At 38.7% G+C, this 12,238-nt stretch overlaps 1 protein-coding gene across 36 annotated transcripts in view, besides 1 other annotated feature; it reads left to right on the top strand.

The window, feature by feature from the left end:
* The window catches only part of CLASP1 (cytoplasmic linker associated protein 1), a 311,687-nt gene that overhangs the window by 260,038 nt on the left and 39,411 nt on the right, over positions 1-12,238 (top strand). For 33 of the 36 annotated variants that reach the window (XM_047443792.1, XM_047443782.1, XM_006712383.2 and 30 more), the window contains 3 exons: positions 1,519-1,662; positions 2,197-2,303; positions 11,776-11,926. In XM_047443792.1, coding sequence (XP_047299748.1) covers positions 1,519-1,662; positions 2,197-2,303; positions 11,776-11,926 — 402 coding nt within the window. Of the gene's footprint in view, positions 1-1,518; positions 1,663-2,196; positions 2,304-7,100; positions 11,927-12,238 lie in introns of those variants that run through there. The other 3 variants (NM_015282.3, NM_001395891.1, XM_047443794.1) reach the window with 2 other exon arrangements.
* Positions 6,123-6,623: an enhancer, noted in NCBI's record as "H3K27ac hESC enhancer chr2:122140378-122140878 (GRCh37/hg19 assembly coordinates)". NCBI's record gives its function as "activates a minimal SCP1, AML or CMV promoter by ChIP-STARR-seq in naive H9 embryonic stem cells {active_cell/tissue: H9 hESC(naive)}" and the evidence as "EXISTENCE:reporter gene assay evidence [ECO:0000049][PMID:30033119]".

The raw sequence follows: 12,238 nt of genomic DNA, 5'->3' as shown, positions 1-12,238 counted from the left end.
TTGTTCTGTTATGCAAATATGCATATCAAATAAACAGTACATTAAATTGGTGAAATAGATTCCTTCAGATAATTTGTTTAAAATGTTTCCAAAATGAAATGCAGAAAAGTGTATTTTAGTACAAGTAATAATAATGCTTTTTGCCCATGTCATAAAAATATTATGACCACTTATTTAATTTGGGTGGAAAAGGTATTAATGACTGTATTTGAAATTAAAGGGGAAAAAAGTAATGTACTTTTGCCCAATACTGTGATTAATGAATGATTTCAAAATGTTAAAAAAGTAACTTTTGATTATATTTTTAAATTCATAATTCTTATTTTTGGTTAAATACCTTTGGGTTTTTGGATTTCTTTTCCTACTCCAGGCACAAAATAGTAATTTTGTCCTAACTGGACCTATAATTAATTTTAGCATTGTAAAAGCATTGAAATATTTTGTGATGTTTATTTCCAAAAGAATTTCTCTGCAAGCACATTTTTTGTGTAATATTCTATGTCATGGAAAAAAATTCTGAATAATTACTGCAATCTTAAAAACTACAGTCTTTGGAAGGACTTTATGTTTGTAAAGTCTTTATGGTTAAAAATGAAAAATAAGTGATTATATTCACAGACAGTTTTTTATGTCTTTTTCTTTCTCTTGACTCTTAGAAATTAATTAGAAATGCCAATTAGTATTTACTAAATTTTTTTTGGCTTAGCTTTTATAAATGAAAACTATTGTAATTAATTCCTCAGGCATTGTGCTTTAAGCTCAGATTGCCTGCTACTAAATCCATAGAAAGCACATCACTTACTAGAAGCCCGAGCCTCATTGACCACTCTTGTTCCAGCTCATTGCTTTGCCTACCTCGCTACCACAATCACTACAAGCAGGCTTGCAGTGTGTTGACTCAATTAATAAGCAAAAGTAGAACATTTTCCAAAAGGCAGAAGAGCATGTTTTTAACGTAGACTCCTTCGAAATCTGATTTGCTTCTCAAAGTCTCTCTCCTTGGTTTATAGGTGTAAAAGTAGAAGTTTTTCTGAGGTATTTATACTCGTTTTCTCATGTTTCTTAGTCAAGAGGAGTATGGCTTCACAAGATAACCTAATGCAGCTTGTTTAAAAATATGTGCTTTCCAGGGTGTACTGAGATCCCTGTTCAGTTCTGAATTATTAAAGTGGGATCAATCTTAAACTTTTTAAAATTTTTTAATTGTTTCATTTACCTACTTAACCAGCTTCATTCCTAGTACCAGACAACAAGAGAAAAGTTCTAGGAATTTATTATTAGTGTGCTGTGGAATTCCAAGGCCAGAGGGCATTAAAATGAAGCCAGAGTTTATTTTCCCGATTGAAGTCAGACTGCTTGTGATTGGTATTATTTTCTTCAGATGCTTTTTTGTTTTTGATGCCTAGAATGCCCTCTTATTAGTGATTTTACTTATAAAATATTTTTTTAAACAACTTTAATCAACATTTTGATGACCTATTGTACATTACATAAATTAATCATGGTTCCTTTTTCTAGGCAGCACAGATTGTGCTAATCTCTCTGTTTGAATTGAATACTCCTGAATTTACCATGTTACTTGGTGCCTTGCCAAAAACATTCCAGGATGGTGCCACCAAACTCCTGCACAACCACCTCAAGAATTCCAGTAACACCAGTGTGGTGAGTGCTTTGGTCACGATTGGTGCCTATGTGATGTCCATGACCTCTGCGTAGCCCTTATCTAGAACCTACTCTAATAGAATACCCCGTTTCCTTGTCCTCTTTCAGGAAATGTCGAGCATCCTGAGGATGGGGCCATCTTAAGCCCCAGTGAATGAATGAATCTGATATTTAAGTATGCCGTTTTTTCTCAGGTTGTTCAGTCAACTACATTTTCACTAGGTTATCCAGTTAGTCATTCATTCACTGAGTTGGTCTTATTTTTCAACACTGGAAAGATGCAAGTGCTCAATTTTGTCTGTCACTCTAGCACACCCAACATCAATCATTTGACTCCAGGAGTGCTTGTATGATGATTATTCATTTTTGGTTTATATACACTTAAAATTGGCCTTATGATTCTAAGGGAAAAAAAAAACCATCCTGGGCAGATTCTACCCATTTATTTACATGTGGGTTAAAAGACCAAGGAAAGAATAGAATATATTCTATATACAGCCCTTGAATAACGATGCCTATTCTGCTTCACCCCAGGGCTCTCCAAGCAATACGATTGGCCGGACGCCCTCCCGACACACCAGCAGCAGGACCAGCCCCCTGACCTCACCCACCAACTGTTCCCATGGGGGTCTGTCTCCAAGGTAAGGTCACTTCTTTACTTTCCACAGATGTAAAGAAACTAAAGCACCTTAATTGCTGTGCATCCTATTTCTAGATTTTTAGACTAAGCTAAATAACAAAAAGAATATTGAGTATCAAGAACCGTGGGTTCTAGTCCTCACTCAAATTGTAACTGTATAATCTTATGCAAAGGGGTTAACTTCTGTGGTAAGATGAGTCATGTGTGCTGAATGTTCTCTCGTTCTTGTAGCTCTAAACACTCACTAGTACCTAATAGTACCTACAACTAAAAGTTTGTATTTAGTACTGTTTTACATAGAATCCATGTAGAAGCTCATTACCCATTCTGCAAGTGGTAGAACCTAAAGGTATTTAGTCATCCAAGCCAACTTGTTATAGTCAGTTACACCAAGTCTAGGGTAGTTTTTCAACCAAGTAATCATTCTAAACATAGTTGCTATCATGTTTGAAGCAGAATGCTGCTCTGAAGGACTGTGATTTAGAATCTGGGAACTAAAATTGGATCAACATTGCATACTCTTGTTGGGACCGTGCAAATATTGGCCCTATAGAAGCTGAGGCAATGATTTAAAAAGAGAAACTGCTTTGTCTTGGGATCTTTAGATAATACTTCACCATCTGACAAGAGCCTTTAGAAGACTGCATGGTGGCTTTAGTGACCCCTTCACATGGGCTGGGAGTTACCCATGGCCCCACTCAAAGCAGTTGCCCTATAGGCCAAAATTTTTAGGAGAGAGCCAGTGTCTGGACCAGCAAGGGGCACACATGCTCTGTTTGTCTACAGGATTAACTCTTTGGGATCACTAACAATACAAACCAGTAAGCTTGTGTCCTGAGGGCTGCTGACACCAGGATCTTAAAATGAAATGCAAATACCACAAGTATGCTATTTTCCCTTTAATGGGTCCTTGTTACTAGGAAGATATCAAAACATAATTGCTTTTACATTTAGTTTTTTAAATGATCAAGAATCTCCCACACTTCTTCCTTATCACTGAAGGTTTCCAGTTCCTCATATCCTTTAAATACTTTGGAACATAAGAAATTTGTGTTTTCCTCTTGGTGAAACAAAGTATTTTCTATAGCTATCTTATCTTGCTGTTCAGATTGCCCTTATGTTTACTCCCTCAAGTTTCCCTCTGCACTATATTCAGGTAGACTGCAATGTGATATCATGTCTCCAGATTTGGTCTGTGTTGTCATGGCTTCAACAGGCTGTTACAATTAAATAATTGAGGCCAGAGACTAATGAAAATATGCTTGACTTTTGAATATGATGGTACAGTGGTGACAGTAAAATCATAAAATTATCTTTTCTAGTGGAGAAAATTATATGGAAAACTTGAATTTTCTGTAAATTGTCGCCTCTGTCTAGAAGAGATAGTTATGCAACATTAATTGGGAAGTCTTTTCTTCCATAATATACAGTTCATACATCTTTTAGTTATTGCATTCTTAGGGTGGCACATTCTTTAGTAAGTCAAAAGGGATAACTCAAATTAAGCATTTTATTATTTGGACTAATCTAAGTAAAAACTTGATAGTGCTGTTAGTATCATTCATCAGAGCTAAAACTGGCTAAGTCAGTCTCCATGGGTCCTCAAGTCATTAAAAATTGTGTTTTTCAAGGTCATTATTCCTTCTTAATTGGCCTCATCTTAATTTGTATTTATAGTTACAGATCAGTGGAAGAAACAAAGAGATTTATTTTCAATATTCAGTAGTTCATGTGTGGTCTAAATATTTTCTTGTTATCAAATTCTTATTTAGGGAATTATTTATGTAGTTTCTTTCTTGGAAAAATATTTTTTTTTAACTTGCCGTCATTCAGTGTGTAAATAGCCAGATGGCCTTAGCCAACTTGAGCTTACAGAAGAAATGATTTTTCTCGCAACTAAAACTGTCCAGCAGTGGGAAAAACTGCTTCATGTTATCATGTCACTAGAAATATTTAAATAGGCTACATATTTTCTAACAGGAAAATGATAAAAGAAATGAATTATTGCACTAAATAGAATTGACTAGGTTACCTCATTTAAGGAGACTACAGACAGATAGACAGATCTGTTGTATATAATCTCAGCTATTTTTTCTGAGCATTGCTCTTAAAATGTTGATTTTCTGTGACCTGCCATTTCTTTGAGTTATCTTGACCAGACAGTGTTATTTTATTCTGTAGGGGAAAAGCTATTACCAATTATTTGTTTTCAGTCAAATTAATTAATTAATTAATTTATTTAGAGATTAAGTCTCACTCTGTCACCCAGGCTGGAGTGCAGTGGCATGATCTCTGCTCACTGAAACCTCCGCCTTTGGGATTCAAGTGATTCTTATGCCTCAGCCTCCTGAGTAGCTGGGACTACAGGTGTACACCACCACGCCCAGCTAATTTTTGTATTTTTAGTAGAAACGGAGTCTCGAACTCCTGATGTCAGGTGATCCGCCCACCTCTGCCTCCCAACATGCTGGAATTACAGGCATGAGCCGCCACACCTGGCCTGTTTTAAGTCTAATTTTAACTGTCAAAATAAACTTTTTTTTTTTAGTCCAAAATTTCTATACTTGGATCATGATGATAGTGAGAAACTATTCTAAAATGATAAATCTGATAATTGTTTAAAAATATCACTAGTGGCTGGACACCGTGACTGATGCCTGTAATCCCAGCACTTTGGGAGGCCAACGTGGGAGGATTGCTTCAGCCCAGGAGTTTGAAACTAGCCTGGGCAACATAGTGAGATCCTGTCTCTACAAAGAATAAAAAATTAGCTGGACATGGTGGCACATACCTGTGTTCTCAGCTACTTGGAAGGCTGAGGTGGGGAGATTGCTTGAGCGCAGGACATGGAGGCTGCAGTGAGCCATCATTATGCCACTGCACTCTAGCCTGGACAACAGAATGAGACCCTGTCTTAAAAACAAAAAATGTGTGTGTGTGTGTGTGTGTGTGTATATATATATATGTGTGTGTGTGTATATATATATACATATATATGTGTGTATATATATATACATATATATGTGTGTATATATACATATATATGTGTGTGTGTATATATACATATATGTGTGTATATATACATATATATGTGTGTGTGTGTGTGTGTGTGTGTATATATATATATATATCTCACCAGTGAGGAAGTCATTTTTTTTTTATCAACCCAGTAGTAGTAGAGATGCTGTAGATAATAGGTTAAACTTTTGTAAAACATTCCGTTAGACATCATTTCTGTGTGAAAGAATAAACTTCCTATTACCAGCTAATACACAAATACCACTTGGTATTTGGAGAAGAGATCTATGTGCTATAAATATGTGAAGTACATATTTATCTTTTACCCAATATGATTTTACGGTAAATGAAAAACTGAGTTGCAAGGGGCTTCAGAAGTCATCTGAAGTCCATTTCCTTTAAGAAAAAAAAAAGTATATGGTGGTCCTTGCTCTGGTCTGCCATATGTTCTTGGCAAACATGTCATAGAGCAGGATGACTCTGTGTAAATAGCATGTATGTCCCTAGCAATAGGAAGTAATTTTTAGTCATCTTGTGAGAGGATCCAGAGTATGGATAGAATCAAAGTGGGGCTTAACAGGGAGACCCCACCCCACACTCGGAGGTGGGTGTTCTGCCACTCCTTCCCCAAGCAGAGGCCCAGCCTGAGGTGTCACCTGCATCCCTCCTATGCCCTCACCTCCAACCCAGTGTGTGCATCTGACCCAGTGTGTGCCCCACACAGAGACCAGTGTGTCTTTAGGCCTCTGTATGCTAGTGACTTTGCATCTCAATGCCTTATTTTCCTTGTAAAGCAGAGCCATACCTGTGCTCAGGGGAGACTAGCATGCAGAGGCTCCTGCTGTGACGATGCCAGTGAATGCCAGTGGCAGGCAGGGCTGCTGTGTAGGCACCCTGGCACTGATGCCATGGACTCCACCCATGGCCTTACCCCACATCACCAGCCAGCCAGCTCCCCACTTTCCCAGTCTCTCCCTCCATCCTTTTGAATTGCAACAGTTGTTAGAACTCTCCTTCAGGGCCTCTGCAAGCCCAGGCACCCAGTGACATTTATGAAGGGAAGGTGAATACTTGTGTTCCCCAGAGAATTTCAGTTCTCATATTAGGTGGTATGAGCAGAGGGATTTGGTTTTTATGACCCAGCACTCTGAGCTGCCCAGCTGAGACTTAACATGCTAGCCCTCTAGTGGTGCTACGGTTGTTTCAGAAGGAAACAGCTTGTGCTGTCTCTGAACGCCATCCAACTGGATCACAGCACCAAAGAATGCACTGCTCCATGCTGGAGAGCTCTGGTCAGAGTAGCACGGTCTCTGAGTCCTCCTGCTGGAGTCCCTCTGGTCCGATTTGAATTAAGGCCCCATGATTCTTCTTTGGTTCTTTCTAAAATAACTGATGAGTTAACTGAAAGTGAGCATCCATATTTTCTTGTGTATTGTGTTATGTCCTTCCCAGTGCATGCAGATACACACAGCCCCTCATACTGACATATACACACAGTCTCACGCATAGACACTCTTGGAATCTCATGTGATTTTAAGTAGTAAACACATTCCACGTTTGGGAGGGGAAAGAATAAAGCAGTCTCATCGAGGACCAAATTGTAAAACAAAATTTGTTCTTTTCTCTGTATGATGAAGTGCTAATTTTGCTCTGATTAACTTTAATAGAACTTTGTCAAGGAAAGAAGAGACTAAGACACTTAGTGTGTAGTGCTTTCCTCCTCCCCTCCCCTTTGCTTTTTGTATTTCTCTCTCTGATTTTCCTCTTCTGATCACTGCAGTCGGTTATGGGGTTGGAGTGCCGACGGGTTAGCGAAGCACCCACCTCCCTTTTCTCAGCCTAACTCCATCCCCACCGCTCCCTCCCACAAGGCTCTCAGGCGCTCTTACTCTCCCAGGTAACAAGCTACCTGTCAAACTTGTCTGAGGTGTCACAATATTATTGCATTTCCAAGGTCGTCTCAGGTCTTTGGGAAAGCCTCTAAGCTGCCTCCAGTGTGGTCCCTTCCTTGGTGTCACATAGCAGGAGTAGAGCCTTGGTGAGAAGTGTGAGCAGGTGTGTGATCTTTGCCAAATCTCACAAGTATGGTTCCTGCTGTGTCACAGGGACAGATGACCCTTTATAAGCTGATCAGATTCATCACCACCTATTATTGTGGGCCTTTCTGTACAGTGCAGTGCTCAGCCCCCAGAAAGACCTCAGGAAATGCTGTGAGGTCAGCGTGGGCAATAGTGGGAGCAGTTTCCTTAGCATGCGTCTAAAGTGCAGAAGACATTCCCCTGAGAAGCCAAAAAGACCTCTTTCCCAAACCATACCTGTCACTCTCAGCCTTGCTATTGACTATTTGTAACTGATTTCTTTCCTAACATACTGTCATATGAGGGTAGTCTGAGCACACAGATCCAGAAAGGAGTCCCCAAGAGGCAGGATAACTGTTACAGCTCACTAAGGATGCCCTGCCTCTAAGAAGGAGAAACGTCAGTCCCTTCACGCACCCCCACAGTTGATGCTGAATGCGGCATCATGGACACTGGTTATGCAACAATGTTATGAGTCTGGAAGAAGGGGTGGGCTTCCCTCAGATGCTGAATCTGTGGTACAAAGAAGGGTCCACATAGTACTGCAGATGTCTATTTCAGGGTCTCTTGGGGATGCTTTTTATAAGGTCCAAAGATCAGAGAATCTCTTCCCTAGAAACCTGTTAGAGCACTGGGCAGTCCAGCTGTCACTGTTCTTTGTGAGATGAGTTTCTATCCTCTATAATAGAGGGTGTGATAGGAAAAGGGTTAAAAAAAAAAAAGACCTGTTACTTTTGAAATACTTCATAGATAGCTTTTGTGCAGATTTGCATTCTGACTTTTGTGGAATACAAATAATCTACATAGTGAAGCCAAAAACAGTAAATGAAATATTTTAACAACACCTTCCTTTTGAAGCTCTTATACCTCTAAAAGTCATTTCTAAAATGTACAGAGAACCCTGCGATGAATGTTTCTAGATACACAAGGTTAGGGCAAGCAGGCGAGGAGACGGCTGCTGTCTTTAATGTTAACAAAGCAGGTCACTCCTTTTTCTTTTTTTTAAGGTTAGCTGTGCCTCCAAGTGTAAGATCAGTTGGTTGACTATCTCCCAGTATGTTGACCTGTATTCCCTCATGGGCACTCAGCTTCACCACCAGCCAGCCATCAAGATTGCCCCTCCAGAGCACATCCCATTCCTAGGATCATCTTTCACATACATACACGATACATATTGACCTAACTCATTAAGAGAGAATGCTTACTGAATACTTATAACTTCTGTTGCCCATTGGAGGCAGGGATAGTTGACTAGAGACTTTTACATTTAGAAAACCTATCAGTTACATAAAACTAAGAGGGAATCTGTATGTCTGTCTATTTGTTCTGTGCCAAAATCCTATTGATTCCATAACAAAGAATGACTATCCTTATTCTATACATTGTACCCTTTTCCTACAAAATGACGAAGAAGGCAGGCTTCTCTCTCCAGTTTCTCTCTCTTGGAGACCTGACCCCATGTTCTCCTCCCTCCCCACGACATGGATCCTTTAGCGGGCAAGCCCAGGGCTGCTTTCAGCTTCCATGTTGGGTGGCATGGCCTAACCTTAGGTCAGTGACTATTGGCTGATTAAGGAATTCTCCCTAATCTAAAAAACCCTAAGAGAGCCCTTCTGGAGTCTAACCAGAGTATTTACAGGTGATCAGGGCCTGACCTCTAACCCAAGGATTATGTCCTGGGGTTGTCTCAGGGCTGAAACAAGACAGGCTGTGGGGCAGATGGCAGATTGAGGTTTCCCCAGGTCTCTTCTCAGTCAGCTTCTGAGGCCGTCCTGCTGCTCCCTCATATACTGCTTGTGAGGACACAATATCTACCCTCCCTGATGATGGCTTCCATGGGAAGTTCCTTTTTCCTTTAAGTGAGAACTTAACAGATACTGATTTGGAAAAATATAATTCAAGCCAAAGCATAAAAATAGCAAAGAAAGTAGCATGGTCTGTTTCCTCCTAGAGGTAAGCAGTTATGCCTCTCACCTGCAGCTCACAGTTATAGCTTCATACCAAGGAGATACTTCAAACCCCAGGCTAGTGAGTCTAAAAGAAGACACCTTCAATTGTTCTTGGTTCTGCAAATGGTGCTCCTGAATTGGGAGTTTGAGTTGGTTTATTAATTGAAAGTGAGAAGGAGGAAATTACCTGGCAGAATCCTTTATTTTCTTATTTTAAAAAGAGGCTATTGTAATAGTGAAGTGATGTGATCTGAAATGAAATATTTTTAAGAAAGTTCAGGTTAAGAATAATGAGATGAATTATCTGAAAGCTGACATTATCTGAAGCGACATATGGAAAATAATATTGTGACATCCCTTAAAAAAACTTGAACGTTCCCCCAGACTTCCTCTTGTCCATCCCATCATTCTTTCAGTTTTTTGGATTTTTTTTCTTTTGCATGGGCTATGCTGTTATTTTTGGTTGTTGTGATTAAAAGTATTTTAAGGCATTTTTTTACATCTTGTATATATATTTTTTGTTTGAGTCATAATACTCAGTCTTTATATATAAAAAATAGTGTACTGGCCAGATGTATAAATGCCTTGTCCATACAAAAGCTAGTATTGTGGTGTCCTCAGAAGGAGCGGGGGAGCCTCTGGCCCCTTGGTCATGCCTTTCTCACATCTAAGGAGTGTTGCCTCTTTGACAGACAGCCTTGTGAACATAGAAGAGGTTGAAATCTTAAATTCTCTTCAGGTTTTTTATTCTACCTCCTGTCAGTTTAGACATGGAATTTCAACAGCAAACCTGTTCAAGGTTCACATTTCTTTTTGTTTGATGCTCAAGTCAATCTTTGAGTTGAATTTTTTTTTTTTTTTTGTGAACTCTCCAAATATTCATTCATCAGGAAAGGTGGGTTTTATCTGGGCCATATTTGCAATTCTAGACAAATAGCTCCCATCTTTGAGATTGTGGTCAGCTCTTGGGCTCTAGAACCTACCAGCACCAGCCCTAGAAAACACTTGGATCATTGCTACATCAAGCCAGTAGAGATCTGGCCACTCCAAGTGAGAGCTCTCCAAATCTTACCTTGCTCATCTGCCCCAACTTTTTTTTTTTTTTTTTTTAAGGCAGAATACTTAAGGAAGAGTATTTACTAAATGTTCATCATTTTTACATTACAGGAAACTCACTTTGGGAATGTACAGGATTGGTTGTGTTGCCCTTAGGAAGGATACTTCGTTTCTTCAGTTACTACTCTTTTGAAGAACAGGAAGATTGCTTTTCTTTAGTCCTTAAACAGTGTTGCATGCTTACAGCCAAGGATTCTTCGCGTGTCCCTAGCAATCCTCAGTATAGCTCAGGACTATTTTAAAAATTAAATTAGACGAATTCATCTGATCTTTTCTTGAAACTTTCTTGAAACAAGTGACATTTAAACTAAGATTTTTTTTTAACTTGCCCTTGGTTGACTGTTGCTTCGTGTTTTGCTTGCTTTATGCTGATATATCCATCCCATGCTTTTCTTTTATATTCTCAGGATGGTTTTTGTTCTCAGGATTCTCCCTGTTTCAGTGCACTTTCCAGACATCTAAAAGGCACTTGTTGACAAACTGCAGTGCACCAAAAAGGATTGTTTGGCTTTTTTGCTTCATTTCATGTTTTGCTGTGCCCAATGTCTATAAAGACAGCAGTCAATAACACTTTTCTGTGAACAACAAATATTTCTTGCTTTTATGAGGATTTTTAGATGTCCATCCAGGAATGTGACTTTTTATAAAATCTGCTTTGATTATAAAACTCCAAACAGAAGCATGTAGAAGAGTCTGATATTAATAGCAAGCTCATGGGTGAGATGATGTGAGAGTTACTTTCTGGGCCTGTTCATAGGGTGGATCTGACTTTGAGTCTAGGGTTTTTTGTTTTGTTTTGTTTTAATAGGGTTTTATTTGTTTTCTGGATTGGATACCTGGGAGTATAACCTAGCCTTGTGAGGTCATTTACTTTGCTCCTTTGAAATTTGCTTATAGTACTAGCTTTATTTCCAACTGCCCATTCCTCTTAAGTTTGTACATTTGAGACCAGTAACAACCAAACTCCTTTTTTCCATCTTCAAAATAAGAAAGTTATTTTTCCACTTTCATTATCTCGTGCCTTCAGTCACCAGTGTCACTCTTTGAGTTCCTGCATTCTCGTGGTTACTGTTGTTTCCCACTGGTTTTTATTGAGTGCTGATGTAATGTGTTTGGCAGATTTAACAAAGAAGATGTGTAATTGTCCGGTGGTGGTACTCTAACAAAAGACGTCTCCTTTTCATTCCAAATCACCCAATAAACAAAACTATAAATATGTCTTATTCTTTAAATTGTGGGAAGTAACTTATGCCCATATCTCAGTTCTATGTATATGCCTCGATTTAAGAAATAAAATATTTTTTATCTTTAGCATGCTGGACTATGATACAGAGAACCTGAACTCTGAAGAAATCTATAGTTCTCTACGTGGAGTTACAGAAGCCATTGAAAAGTTTAGTTTTCGAAGCCAAGAAGATCTGAATGAGCCAATTAAACGAGATGGCAAAAAGGAGTGTGATATTGTAAGTATCCCTAGGCTAAAAGAGAACTCTGTATGAGTTAAATGACAGATAATGAGACTTCTGAACACTGACCATCATGATTACTGAGCTTCATCATTATTTTTATCCTGTAGTTAAAATAATGTTTTCCTTTTAGTTTTAGTTGACATGTAATAATTATACACATTTATGGGATACAAAGTGGTATTTTGATACATGTGTAGAATGTGTAATAATCAAATCAAGGTAATTAGTACATCCATCACCTCATTTATCATTTCTTTATGTTGGGAACATTGAAAAATTCTCTCTTCTAGTGTTTTGGAAATACAC

Source organism: Homo sapiens, chromosome 2, assembly GCF_000001405.40.
Source record: "Homo sapiens chromosome 2, GRCh38.p14 Primary Assembly".
NCBI lineage: Eukaryota > Metazoa > Chordata > Mammalia > Primates > Hominidae > Homo > Homo sapiens.
The sequence above is the reverse complement of the archived record's forward strand: the minus strand, read 5'-3'. Positions and strand labels throughout refer to the sequence as shown.